Here is a 14,969-nt window from a genome sequence, read left to right as displayed (position 1 = left end):
TTTTTTTTTTTTTTTTTTTGAGACGGAGTCTCGCTCTGTTGCCCAGGCTGGAGTGCAGTGGCGCTGTCTCAGCTCACTGCAAGCTCCGCCTCCCGGGTTCACACCATTCTCCTGTCTCAGCCTCCCAAGTAGCTGAGACTACAGGCACCCACGACCAAGCCCGGCTAATTTTTTGTATTTTTAGTAGAGACGGGGTTTCACTGTGTTAGCCAGGATGGTCTCGATCTCCTGACCTCATGATCCACCAGCCTCGGCCTTCGAAAGTGCTGGAATTACAGGTGTGAGCCACCGCGCCCGCCCAGGGATCTTTGTAACTGACATTAAAACGTAAATACTGATGTTCACATTAAGGAGCGTTTTGGCATATCATCATTACTAATGTATATTTTGCCCTTTGATTTGAAATCAATGAGTTGGAAAAGCATTTGTGTGTCTCACAGGGTATCTATAACAGCATGGATTAACATTTTGGGGTAAAACAAGTATGGAACAGTTTTTATGAGTTCTTTTTTCCTGTTAACTAATATTCACATCAGTGAAAACTTTGAATTCTCATCAATCTGTTTAAATTTTCTTATTATAATTAAGCACAACACATTTTCCCTTTTTTTAATTGACGTATAATAATTTTACAAGGTACATAGTGATGTTTTCATACATATCATGTATAGTGATCAGATCAGGGTAATTAGCATATTTATCATCTCAAACCTTTATTATTTCTTTGTGTTGAGAACATTTTCTTACAAACAGTTTTTCATGAGTTGGGTGGTTTTCTAGGAGAGACACTGAGTTTAGGCAGACCCGAGGAAAGTGAAATGAAAAGATCAGGGGTAGTATCTCTTGATGAGGCTGAAATACAAGCATAGTGAAAATTTAAACACAAGGCATTTTATTTCTTTCGATGATATTATAAAAAGAAAATCATGACTGAGTGATTCATAAATGAATAAACATTATTTTATTCACTTTTTTTTTTCTGTACAAAGTCCTGATTCCTGATTTTCCTATGACCTTATGTTCTTCAGCAGCACTTGTTTTTACAATTAAGAGCTAATTACTATCCTGGACCCCTGGAAACTTGTGAACTTTCCAAAGGTCATTATAACTTAGTATCGGCTAAATGCAGCTCGAGAAGGCCCAAATGAAACAAAACTTAGAAACTGTGTTCTTAATCTTGTTTATCATTAATCTGGAGACAAATGGACTTTATCTAGTTTATACGAAAACTCAGGCACTGGAGTCTGTGCACACACACACGCATGCACGTTCATGGTCAAATGTTTTGCCGAATCAGCTGAATGAAATGATTCATGGGAGGCAAACTTCTCTGTCAGCTACACATCAGATAATTGATGCTATTTATAATAGAAATGAAATAGGAGGCTAAAAACTAACAAAGAAAAGAATTCCTTGGAATTGCCGTTGTTTTCTTTGGAAGAAGGGAAGGAACCAGTGACTCAGTTTGGCAATACATTGATCTCATTAGAACAATGCCAGAGCATGGAGTAAAGCTGAATATATTGCAAATAAGTGTAACATTGAGACATATTTCACAACGGACTGTTTCCTAGCAATCAGATTCAGTATAGGGAAAGGGCTGTGACAAATTCAAACAGGGGAGAAAAGAGACCAAACACAGAATGAATCTCTTCTTCTTCTTCTTTTTTTTTTTTTTCTTTTGAGACAGAGTCTTGCTCTGTCGCCCAGGCTGGAGTGCAGTGGCGTGATCTCGGCTCACTGCAAGCTCCGCCTCTCAGGTTCACGCCATTCTCCTGCCTCAGCCTCCCAAGTAGCTGGGACTACAGGCGCCCGCCACCAGGCCCGGCTAATTTTTTTGTATTTTTAGTAGAGATGGGGAGAATGAATCTCTTCTAATCCCTTTTAACCAAACCCAAGAATCATGCCAATATTAAGAAAATGACAGAATGCTTTCCAGGTTATTAGAAATGTACTGTGAAGATGACATTTTTGTATGACTATGCAATGCAGATTATACAATATTTACTACACAATGTAGCCATAAGACTAAAAGAAAAGTTAACTATGATAATAGGTTTTATACATTAAGCACCTTTTATTGTTTTAAATATCTTATGTAATCTAAGTAAATTAATCCTCACAACAGACTTGAGAGTTTGCAGTATTACTTCTTTTGCAATTGTTGTGTAGGAGGTTTGGAGATGATAAGGATAAAAGGAAAATAATGTAATCTTTAATTCACAACACACCTGAAATGCAAGGGATGTGGTATTCCTTACAAATACCCAGATGACCATAATGAAGACACATGTATCTGAAATAACTTTGGTAGAGGAAAAAGTTGTTTCTTTGTAGATGAAAAATATTTTATAGAGACTTAAATTTTCATCCTGGGTTCATTCATTTCCAAACCTGCTTTTCCATAAAGTCTGTGAAATAGGAGACGTAGGAAGCCTCACGTCTACCGTTCAGTGTGCCTTTTGACCCCTAGTTCTCAATCCAGTGCTGGATGGGTGGGGTGTTCTGAATCAGAACCACCTACAGGAGCTTTTTCAAACCACACAGTCCCCCCATTGGCAGGAGAGATTCCATGCTCTGAGAGGAAGACAGAACCAGCTGAGTTATTGTATCAAAGGGGCTTCAGAGGAATATGAGTGTGCACAGCAAGGACAGTGCTATTCACCTCTTGTTCTTCATAAATAGAAAGCCTGATAGGACAGAGTGCTGATTCACTTCTAAGTGCCCCTTCTGACATCAGAAGGTGGGCTTTGTTTGGGCCCAGGACGAGTCTCTCAACACTAAAGTATTTCCTTAGTGATCTCATCACTCAGGGCCACCAGAAGACCCCATTAGAAAAGCTGAGTGGCACATTCTCACTGAAAAAGCCACAGGGAACTGCAGGTGGGGGACTCAGAAACATTCAGGGAGAGATGACAGACAACCTGAGACTATATAGAAGGGCTAGAATTCTAATTTGATACATACATCACCTGGAATTAAGTGTCCTGTTAATAGAAGACATTTGGAAGTTTCAGAGTGAGAGAGAGAAAGAAAGAGAAAGAGAAAGAGACATAGAGCAAGCAACTGTATGTAGATGGCAATTATAATCTTGATTTCAAAGACATCTTCCTTGTTTTATGACTGTTCCTTATTCACAGCTTCCTGTTTCTGTTATGAGTGAAATATGTATACTTGAATTTTGAAGATCTCGATTTGAGTGATCTTAAATTCCTTTCCTATTCTTCAATTAACTCTTTTTTTTTCTGTGTATTGGGTATCTGCATGTGTGTATGTATATGTTTGTACAGAGATATTATTTCATTAGTCAGAAAACCTGATCTAATTAAAAAACTAAATTGCCTCTTTATAAATGCAAGGACCAGTGATGCTGATGGTGCCCCTTTCACAACTGGCTTCTAGTTTCTCACATGATCTTTGTCTCTGGTGTTAGCTGGCTATGCAAGGTCTCTTCAGCTCACTGTTTCTTGGTGGGCTCTTCTATATAATGTGCCTGGTGAAACCTCTTCTGGATGTAAATAACTAGGATGTCTCTGAAACATGTGACACTTCCCCACTATTAACAAGGTAACAGTCTGATATTAACATTTATTTCTTAGTGTTTGTGGTATTACTTTTATCCTGTCCTGTTAAATCTGGGCATCATTTATATACATTAATAGTTACTGTGGGATAGGATGACCACACAGTTCATGATCCCTTTTATCATTTACTGAGCTTACATTTCATGAAAGATATTTAAGAACACATTCTATTTAATTTAGTGATCTTTAAAGTCATATTGTGTCCGGAATTGGTGGGTTCTTGGTCTCACTGACTTCAAGAATGAAGCCGGGGACCCTCGCGGTGAGTGTTACAGCTCTTAAGGTGGCACGTCGGGAGTTTGTTCCTTCTGATGTTCGGATGTGTTTGGAATTTCTTCCTTCTGGTGGGTTCGTAGTCTCGCTGGCTCAGGAGTGAAGCTGCAGATCTTCATGGTGAGTGTTACAGCTCATAAAAGCAGGGTGGACCCAAAGAGTGAGCAGTAGCAGGATTTATTGCAAAGAGCGAAACAACAAAGCTTCCACAGTGTGGAAGGGGACCCGAGCGAGTTGCCACTGCTAGCTCGGGCAGCCTGCTTTTATTCTCTTATCTGGCCCCACCCACATCCTGCTGATTGGTAACGCCGAGTGGTCTGTTTTGACAGGGTGCTGATTGGTGCGTTTACAATCCCTGAGCTAGACATAAAGGTTCTCCACGTCCCCACTAGATTAGTTAGATACAGAGTGTCCACACAAAGATTCTCCAAGGCCCCACCAGAGCAGCTAGATACAGAGTGTCGATTGGTGCATTCACAAACCCTGAGCTAGACACAGGGTGCTGATTGGTGTGTTTACAAACCTTGAGCTAGATACAGAGTGCTGATTGGTGTATCCACAATCCCTGAGCTAGACATAAAGGTTCTCCAAGGCCCCACCAGAGTAGCTAGACACAGAGTGCCGACTGGTGCATTCACAAACCCTGAGACACAGGGTGCTGATTGGTTTGTTTACAAACCTTGAGCTAGACATAGGGTGCTGATTGGTGTATTTACAATCCCTGAGCTAGTAGACATAAAGGTTCTCCACGGCCCCACCAGACTCAGGAGCCCAGCTGTCTTCACCCAGTGGATCCCGCAATGGGCTGCAGGTGGAGCTGCCTGCCAGTCCCGCGCCATGCGCTCTCACTCTTCAGCCCTTGGGTGGTGGATGGGACTGGGCGCGTGGAGCACGGGGCGGCGCTCATTGGAGAGGCTCCGGCCGCACAGGAGCCCACGGAGTCGGGGGAGTCTCAGGCATGGTGGGCTGCAGGTCCCGAGACCTGCCCCGTGGGAAGGCAGCTAAGGCCCGGCGAGAACTTGAGCACAGCAGCTGCTGGCCCAGGTGCTAAGCCCGTCACTGCCCGGGCCCGTAGGGCCGGCCGGCTGCTCCGAGCGCGGGGTCCGCCCAGCCCACGCCCACCCGGAACTCACGCTGGCCCGCAAGCACCGCGCGCAGCCCCGGTTCCCGCCTGCGCCTCTCCCTCCACACCTCCCCGCAAGCTGAGGGAGCCGGCTCCGGCCTTTGCCAGCCCAGAAAGGGGCTCCCAGAGTGCAGCGGCGGGCTGAAGGGCTCCTCAAGTGCCGCCAAAGTGGGAGCCCAGGCAGAGGAGGCGCGGAGAGCCAGCGAGAGCTGTGAGGACTGCCAGCACGCTGTCACCTCTCAATATAAGGTAACTGTTCAAGCCCAATTTTTTAAAAAAGTGAACTAAGATTTGGATATATTGAGGAACTTTCCTAAGACAGCAGAGCTAGTAAGTGACAGAACGTTGACTCAAATTGTGATCACATGAACCAAAAAATTCATTCTGCTCAGCCTTAGAAAATGCAGGTCATGAATTTTATTATTCATCCAACAAGTATATGTGGAGCACAATGCCACGCAATAGCCATTGTTCTAGGCACTAAATTACAGCAACAAATAGGAAGAAGCAGCAATGAGGATTCTACTCCCTACCTGAATTGCCTGATCAAAACTCTCTACCACTTTGCCTCTGCTATCCCTGGGATGTTGCTAAGCAGTGTTCAGCTTCTACTCAAAATCCATTATTAAGGATAAACAGTCGTCTTTGATTTAAATTCAGTAGCTGTGATTTCCTATCAGCCCCTTCAGAGGAGGATACTATCATTCCCACAGGGTCCCTAGAATTTCCCATTTTTACATGCCATGTTATTGCAACTTTCAGTTCTGCACAACCAGAAAAGCTATGAATGGTTCATTTTCTCCATTCTTTTCACTCTTTCCACCTCTGCCTCTCAACAGGGACAGCTGTTTCCTATTACAAAACAGTCTGACAAGGTGCTGGTCTGGAGCAGAGTCTCTTTGGCAGGTAATTTTGATGAGGCCCAGAGGTAAGGGGGTGGGTGTCTCTGATGGGTTTCCGGTCCTGTTATCAGCCACGTCCAGCAACCCCAGACATGGCTGCTGTCTGTACATAGGGCTGTTTCTGGCTTGGAGCCCATGCCTGCTGAGAGCCTCAGTCATTCATCAGGGCTAATCCATTAACTTTTTCTACTTAGGCCGAGGAAGCCTGGGTATGAGGCAAACACTCAGTCCCCCTCTGGCAGAGAACTTGGTCATTGAACACTCGGTAGTAACCCTACCAGTTCTGACTGGGCACTCATACTTTGATTTTTTGGTTGTTGTTGTTCTCATTTTAGAAAAGTAAAGTAGCAATTCTAAACACTAACAAACAGACTTAGTACAGAGAGAAGGTAAATACCATGTGAGAAAATACTCCCCTCGACAGCGAGCTATCTGCAGAAGAGAGGATCCAGTGATATTTTTTGCACAGGGAAGTTTTCTCTATGGCTTCAAACCAGATTTTATATTGCCTTTGGTTTTCGGGAAAATACAGGTATCTTAGCAACAAGGCCCAGCTAAAACCTACTGAGGTTTGTAACCTGAGTCCTATTCTACTTACTGCCCTTCTAGTGGGTACTTCCAGAAACTGGCTTTCCCCTGCACTCAACTTTACTGTTTAGATGGAAAAAACACAGCTGGAAAAGACCTAGTAAGATTTGTCATTAAGAAAAAAATTGTTCTTAGCCTTAATTGGCTTTGCTAGATTAGAACGCCTTCTTTTTCTGAAGAACACCAGATGTCAGGAGACTTGGTATGTAGTCCAACTCTGTGATTAACAATAACATTAATAATAACAAAACATAACAGAAGCATTTAACATTCAGTGACATTTAACACTAACAATATCAGGCTATTACTCTGTGTTAATATGGACTAGTGTATGCATGTCACATACATTGTGTGATTTAAACTTCATCACAGCTCTGACAATGTAGGTGTTATCAGCATTGTCTCTTTTTTACAAATGAAGAAACGAAGCCTTAGAGAGGTGAAATAACTTGTTCTAGGACAATACTTATTAAAATATGAAGGTAGAATTTATACCCAGCTTTATCTGTTTCCTCATGTGGAAAGTAGGGATGGGGACAGGGATTACAGCATGTTTGTAAGTTTCCTTAAAATGCCATCATCCTCAAGGAAAGAAAATGACAGGATATTGTGTCAGGCTCTAACATATTATATGAAGCTTACATTAGTAATGGTGGTGATGATACCAAGTGGACTTACAGAGTTCTAAATAACTTATAAAACTTTCATTTTATTACTGATATGAACTGAATGTGACCCCCTCAAATTCATATGTCGAAGCCCTAATTCCCATCATGATGGTATTGGGATTGGGGGGTTAGGCCCTTCAGACATGAATTCAGTTTAGGTAAGGTCCCAAGAGAAGAGTCCCATGATGGGATTAGCACCCTTATAAGAAGAGGAAGAGACTAGAAGGAGCTCTATCTCTCTGCCATGTGAGGCTGCAGCAAGACAATGGTTGTCTGCAATCTAGGAAGAGAGCCCTCACCAGAAACCATGTCACTGGCACCTTGATTTGGACTTTCAGCCTCCAGAACTGTGAAAAATGGGTAAATGTCTTTGTTTAAGCCACCCAGTCTATGGTATTTAGTTATGGCAGTCTGGGGAGAACAATGCAATTACCCTATTTGATTGCCACAATTAATCACCTTTCTAAGATGGTTAGAGTAAGTACGACTCTTTCATTGTTACAGATGAGAAAATTGAAGCTCAGAGGTTTACTTGCTCCGGACGCATGCCTGCAAGTGTCTTCGCATGTGGCTCCTAGCCTTGATATTCTCCCATCACTGTCTGAGTTTACAGCCTGTGTGTACAATGTATTCTATACAGGAGCTATTCTAATGGGACTTTAACCACAAGTATGCACCCGGTCTCAGAACTCTCCTTATGTATGCAAATATCATGATGCCGATTTCAGATGGAGCTTACCAGGGCCCTCAATTCATAGATGGGTTGTAACAAAAAATTACACAGGACTTTGTACTTTTTTTTTTTTCTTTGCACAGGGAAGTTTTCTGTGTAATGAATAATGATATAGGGCTTTGTGCTTTTATTTTCCTTTTTTTTTTTATTTTTTGAGACACAGCCTCACTCTGTTGCGAAGGCTGGAGTGCAGTGGTGCGATCTCAGCTCACTGCAACCTCCACCTCCTGGGTTCAAGCAATTTTCCTGCCTCAGCCTCCCAAGTAGGTGGGATTACAGGTGTGCGCCACCATGCCTGGCTAATTTTTGTATTTTTAGTAGAGATGGGGTTTCACCTTGATGGCCAGGCTGGTCTCGAACTCCTGACCTTAGGTGATCCACACGCCTCAGCCTCCCAAAGTGCTGGGATTACAGGCGTAAGCCACCATGCCCAGCCTGGACTTTGTACTTATAATTCTGTAATTTTGAGAAATTTGAGTAGAATCCTTTTCCAGAATCAGAAATTTAAGCTCCTGCCAAGAACACTTTTCTCTTTCAGTCGCTCTTGCTCAGATGCATAAAATCTCCTCCGTACCCAGCCCTGATTGCTCTCCGGGCTTAGTAGAAATCCCTGCTGAAGAGCCATTTCGACTGTGAGGGCAGCAGAGTTGTCCCGGACAGAGAAGCCCAAAGGTCCAGAGTGCCCTGAACATTCTGCACAGCTACCTCTCTGGGCTCGGACCAACTGGCTTCTTTCGGTGGCTGTCTGGAGATGTGCTCCTTGGAGACCAAAACTTTGGGATCCGATACCTACCCTGATTATATTTCCATGCACATATTTGGGGGAAATTAAGTTTTCATTAGCAAAGTCATTTGAATGACCTCTGACATGCTCAGCATCCTAATCATGGTGGAGGTGAGAGAGAGAAAGGGAAGGAAGGCAAGAGAAGCAGTGCTAAGAGAGCTTCTTGCCTGCAGAGCTGGAGAGGTTGTGTTTGTTCCCATTTGTCCTCCTTCGGGCTGTCCCAGAACACTAGTGATGAGCTTTTCACTGGATGTGGTTGAGACAAAGCAGCACCCACATCACCCCTTCCCACCATTTTATCTCTTACTGCACAAAACACATTTAGTTGTGGGTTTGACCCTTGACCCCAAATTCTGAACCAGAACTCACTGAGTCCTTCAGGTTCTCTTTGAGGAATCTGCATAGCCACAAGGGTTCAATGAGAGGTACTTTTTGGTCTGGGTTTAATTTTCTTGTAATTTGTTTCCTCTACCTGGACACAATATTCTTGGGCAAGTGCCCTTCTTAACCAACATAGACACGGAGGCTAAGTGGACAAATTCCACGTCATCCCCAGAGGGTCCCCCCGCCTGGGGGAGTAAGCGAAACTTGGTGTTGCAAACACCTACACTTCTTTCACACTCTAGGTTACAATTTTGGAATATTTGACTCATCTACCTCTCTCTTATTCAGATATAGATAAAATGAATGCCAGGCAGTTAGCTGTGTGGGAAGGGTTTGGTTGAGGCTATGAGAATATAGAATATTTCACAGATTTTTCAAGTGATAAGGATTGAGCATATGACAGGAGTAGAGTAAGGGGTACATTGAAAATGTACTGTGGACTGTGTAGGGTCATGGGATCATTGAATGGTGAAACACCCACACCCACAGACACCGAATGTCTGAAGAACTGGGCTTTGTACTTATTTCTTCTTTTGTACAAATCCCTCTATCATTGTGTCAGGTTTTATTTATTTATTTATTTATTTATTTTGCAACTTCCTATTATGTTGTAGAGTCAGTAACATTCATAGCATTAAAACTAGACTTTACGAGACCAAATAGTACCCTTTGAAGTTTACTTTTAAGTGGTTTGCCTTCAGGGACTCTGAATTGGCCCAAGCATCTTCAAGACATCTAACCTTGGTGAACCTTAAATTTCACAACTAGAAATCTAGTTCTTTGATTTCATAAATCTTGACATTCTAGTGGTCGTAAGGAACTTAATGACATGTTTAGGCCTTAGAGTCAGAACAATCTAAATTCAAATCTCTACCACGCATGTGATATTCACCTTCATTTGTAAAATGAGAATAATGAAGTACTACCAACCTCTAGTGTGATTTTAAGAATTAAGTAAGGGAGTTTTTGAAATGCTCTGCAAAATGCCTTGTTATTGGAGTCAACGGTGTTATCATACTTGCCATTCTCCCCATAGCCAAACTTCAAACTATGGCAAGCATTACTCAACTCCAAAAGCTGTATTCATACCAGGTTGTACTCACACTAGATTTGACTAACTTCAGTGATAGCATCTTACTACCTCCTGAGATTGCCAAGTAATTTTTCAAAATTGTAATTGCTAGAGAATTCTTTCTTAATTTGAGGCTAATCTTCTAACGTCCATATATGGATTTTCATTAGAGACCTTGGAGCTAAAGAATGCAAGTCAGTGACAGCTGTTCTAGTATCTGAGAGAATTTGTGTTGATGGCCTCCTTTCTTCCTTCTCCTTGTTCTCTCACTTCTTCCAAATATGATGTGCTTGGGTGCCCTTACCATGGTAGCTGTTCTGCTGATAAATATGCTACTTCTTGTTTGTTGTTGTTGTTTTTTGAGACAGATTCTTGCTATTGTCGCCCAGGCCTGGAGTGCAGTGGCACGATCTCAGGTCACTGCAACCTCCGCCCCCTGGGTTTGGCCTCCCAAGTAGCTGGGATTACAGGCACCCGCCACCACACCCAGCTAATTTTTGTATTTCTAGTAGAGATGGGGTTTCACCATGTTGGCCAGGCTGGTCTCGAACTCCTGACCTCAGGTGATCCAGCTGCCTTGGCCTCCCAAATGGCTGGGATTACAAGCATGAGCCACCACACCCATCTCTATGCTATTTCTTTAAGATCCTTTTTAAATTCTCTAGGTTTGGAAACCCTGTAGCCCTCACTAAGCTCCTGAATTTAGGTATTTTCCCTTAATAAAAGAAAAAAAGTTAATAAATACTCACTTATCCATTACCAAAATGGAACAACTGTTAATATTTTTCCAGTTTTCTTTACACTTTTTTGAAGGCAAAGACGTAATAGGTAAAATTGAGACCCGTGTGATGTCCTTCCTAATTTGCATTCCCTTCCCTTCCAGAGCTAGCGATTAAGAAGTATTTGATGTGCATCCAGTTCTATATATGTACCCTTTAACTATAACATATGCACATATACAAAAATATATATAGTTTATACATATTTGCAAAGCTATATCATTCATTTGCATTATTTAAATACAGTACATGTAAAGTTTTCTAACTTGCTTTTTCATTCAATATTATATTTTCAAAGCAGATTCATGACAATACATACGTAGGTTATTCTTTTTAACCGCAGTATATTTTATTATGTGAACATATCACAATTTATCCATGTATCTAACTATGTAACTTTATTCACTACCACTTGACGTTTGCATTATCTCCCCTTTTTGCTACAACATTGTTGTATGGGACATCCTTGTATATAGTTATCTTTACTCTGTAAGAGTTCATAGATTTTCTCTAGGCCAAACACACACACAGGGAAGCACTCTCACCTTGGATGGCTGGGCTACAGAGTATAAACGTTTTGGGGTGATGCCACTGCTCTTTGTGATGATTCTATTCGCATACTCTTGCCAGTATTAAATGAGAGTTCCGATTTGCTCTCATTCTTGGCTAAACATTGATATTTTTGCCTGTCTGGTGGATTTTAAAGTGTGTCTTACTTCTTAAAAATGTTCCTGATCATTTTTATAGGTGAGCATGTTTTCACTTGCATTTAACATATGCAGTTTTCCATTTCAGTTTGTCATTTTCCATGAATGACACATGAAGATACTTTGCCCATTTTTCTATTACATTCTTTGATATTTTTGTGTTGAATATATTTATTTTCGTATTCTGAGTGTAGACTTATATGTGCTGAACATGTTTCCAGTCAGTGGCCTTTAATTTTGTTTTATATACCATTATTTATGCATAAATTTTAAGTCTAAATTGGTCGGGTTTATCAGTTTTTCTTTACGATTTTGTCTTTTTGTGTCTGCTTTGATAAATCTTTCCCTACTCTGAAATCTTAAATATGTGCACCTATATTTTCTCCTAATAGATTTAAAGATTTTTTAACATTTATATTTTATTTTATTAATAATATGAAATAAAAAATCATTTATGCATACTATATATTACATATAATATATGCAAAATACATATTATGTATAGGATAGACAGCTCTCCCAGTGCCACTTACTAAATACTTCATTCTTTTACTGTGCTAATTATATCTTCATCCATGTCCAATTTAGACTTTGTTCCCTCTATCAAGTTTTTATTTTAATGACTGTATTTTTCACTTTATGATTTGGGATTGGTTGGTTTTATCATCCAGCTGTGTTCAGTATCTACGTCTCTTGTTCCATAACACCATTTTTATTTCATGAATTTTCACCTCCAGTTTTTAAGGATCTTGAAGATTTTAATGTCAGTATTTTCAATACTGTCAGGAGTGAATTTTTGTCTGAAATGTTTTATTTTGTAGGCAATCTCTTCTGAGTCTTTTTCTTCGTGTACTTTGTAATTTCCATTTGCAAGCTCTTCTTGTGTAAGGAGATGTTTTTCCTCTGCCTGTCTGTACTTTTACTTCCCTGCTTTCCCCTGGGGCCCCTTTCCTATCCTCAGCAGGGCAGAACCATTCTTTCCATCATTGCCCATTCTGCCCTGTGACTGGGATGGCAGGAGCCAGGCCATGGGCCAGCAGACCAGCACTTGAGTGACACAGCTTTGTGTAAACTGTGGGCTCAGACTCCTCTCTTTACCACTGCGTCCTGTGCCAATGAACTTTGTTTTTGTCCTATACGGTGTGTGGGTTGTTTTGAACACCATGGTCCCTAAGAGTCAAATTTATTGCTTATGTATTTTAGTTATTTTCTGGCTGACGATGAGGTTTCTTTCATTTTGTAAAACTAGTGTGGTTTTTCTTTTCACTTGAAATATGATTTTGCAACATTACATATTCAGAGGATATGCACTGACCGGAAATTGGGTTCGGTGTGTTTTTCCCTTTTTTGACCACTGCCAAAAAACTGTCTTTCAAGAAGTAGAAACTACTCTGACTAATCCATCACAGTGAATGAAAGGATGAGTAGAGCGACAGCATCGCATTTCCAATTCTGGTACAGTGGTCTGGAACAGACCAGAGCAGTGTGTCCTCAGCTTGTTGTACAGAATGACCTAGAGATTCAGAGTTTTTTTTTTTTTTTTTTTTTTTTTTGAGACAGAGTCTCACTCTGTTGCCCAGGCTGGAGTGCAGTGGTGTGATCTCGACTCACTGTAACCTCTGCCTGCTGGGTTCAAGCGTTTCTCTTGTCTCAGCCTCCCGAGTAGCTGGGATTACAGGTGTGCACCACCACGCCTGGCTAATTTTTGTATTTTTAGTAGATATGGGGGTTTTGCCATGTTGGCCAGGCTGGTCTCGAACTCCTGACCTCAGGTGATCTGCCCACCTTGGCCTCCCAGAGTGCTGGGATTACAGGTGTGAGCCACTGTGCCGGGCTGATTCAGGTTTTTTTTAAGGGTTCCAAAGTTGATTCTTATGCTCAGGAAGGCTTGGGAAGCACAGATCTAAAGGAATGTGCTCTGGGTGAGGAAGTCAGAAAGCATGGTGTTCAGCTCTAACTCTTTTTCTTAAAATCTAAATTTTATTGAGCCAAGTCCTCTGTGGCCTCTGATTCTCTCACATGTAAAATGAAAGGGCTGTATGGTACAGTCCCTGAGAACATTTTACATTCTGAATACACTTAATTCTTATACTAGTGAAACTTTTTTTTTTTAAGTAATTTTAGCATCCACACTCTACTCTTGACTTGGGTTGAGATTGTAGTTAATTAAAACCTCAGTCAGGCCTTTTTCCATGTGTTGCTCTCAAGCCAACATCTCTCCAGTCTGCAATTAGTTTTTGCATGCAGGTAAGGACTTACTATATTTTTCTGCCTAAATTTACTTTACTATTTGTAAACATTTTTAATGCACTATAATATGCATAAAGATAAATGAGCATATTCCAGGAATATATTTGCTAATTTTTTACCAGCTACACCTGTGCATCCAGCACCCAGCTAAAAGAACAGACTATTTGCACCACCCCAGAGCCCTTCTTTGTATTCCTTTCCAGACATTACCCATCTCCCCATGAGAAACCTCTACTATGACTTCTAACACATTTGTTTTGCTCTTTTGGAATGTATATAGAATCACAAATATATACTGGCTTCCTTTGTTTAATATTATGTTTTTGACAATTATGCATCTTGGTACATAGATTTATAGATCATTAATTCTCATCATTGTGTAGTATTCCATGGTGTAAAATACACCATGCTTATCCATTCTACTGATGGTGAGCATTTTGGTAATTTCCAACTTTGGCTACTATGAATAATGCTGCTATGAAAGTTCTAGTAAATGTATTTTGGTGAACATACGTTTGCACTTCTCTTGGGTATATAACTAAAAGTGATATTACTAAGCAATAGTTCACTTACATATTTAGTTTCAGTAGATACTGCTACACTGTTTTCCAATGTGGTTGACTCAACTAAACCTCCCATGCACAGTGTATCAGTCTTCTAGTCGCTCCACCTCTTTGCCACATTTAGAATTTTTCATCGTAGTTATTGTAGCTTGTGTGTTGTGGTATCACATTGTGGTTTTAATTAGTAATTACCAATGATTAATCCAGTTGAATGATTTTTTTCACATGATTATTGGCAATCTTGATGTTATCTTTTGTGAAGTATCTACTCAAGTCTCTTGAGCATTTTTTCAATTGGGTATTTGCCTTTGTCTTATCAATTTGTTTTAGTACTTCATCTATTTTAGGTATAACTCCTTTTAAAATATATTTATTGTAAATACGTTCTCCTGCTCTATGGATTACATTTTCACTCAGTTGTGTCTTTTGAGAAACAGAATTTCTTAATTTTTCTATAGTATAATTTATGATTTTTACCTTTATGTTTGATGCCTTTGTGTCCTGTTTAAAAATGGCTATTCTGAAGTTACAAAGGTACTCTTCTAGATTGTTTATTGTT

General features: G+C 40.7%; 1 long non-coding RNA gene across 1 annotated transcript in view, besides 1 other annotated feature; it reads right to left on the bottom strand.

Moving 5' to 3' along the window:
- Positions 1-688: 688 nt before the first annotated feature.
- LINC02098 (long intergenic non-protein coding RNA 2098) overlaps positions 689-14,969 on the bottom strand; it is a 32,676-nt gene continuing 18,395 nt past the window's right edge. Inside the window, exon 4 of the long non-coding RNA NR_146647.1 lies at positions 689-852. This is a non-coding gene — a long non-coding RNA (long intergenic non-protein coding RNA 2098). The remainder of the gene's footprint in view (positions 853-14,969) is intronic.
- Positions 5,902-6,196: an enhancer, noted in NCBI's record as "tiled region #14954; K562 Activating non-DNase unmatched - State 24:Quies". NCBI's record gives its function as "activates a minimal TATA promoter and a strong SV40 promoter by Sharpr-MPRA in K562 cells {active_cell/tissue: K562}" and the evidence as "EXISTENCE:reporter gene assay evidence [ECO:0000049][PMID:27701403]".

This window comes from Homo sapiens, chromosome 11 (assembly GCF_000001405.40).
Source record: "Homo sapiens chromosome 11, GRCh38.p14 Primary Assembly".
NCBI classification, from domain to species: domain Eukaryota; kingdom Metazoa; phylum Chordata; class Mammalia; order Primates; family Hominidae; genus Homo; species Homo sapiens.
The sequence above is the reverse complement of the archived record's forward strand: the minus strand, read 5'-3'. Positions and strand labels throughout refer to the sequence as shown.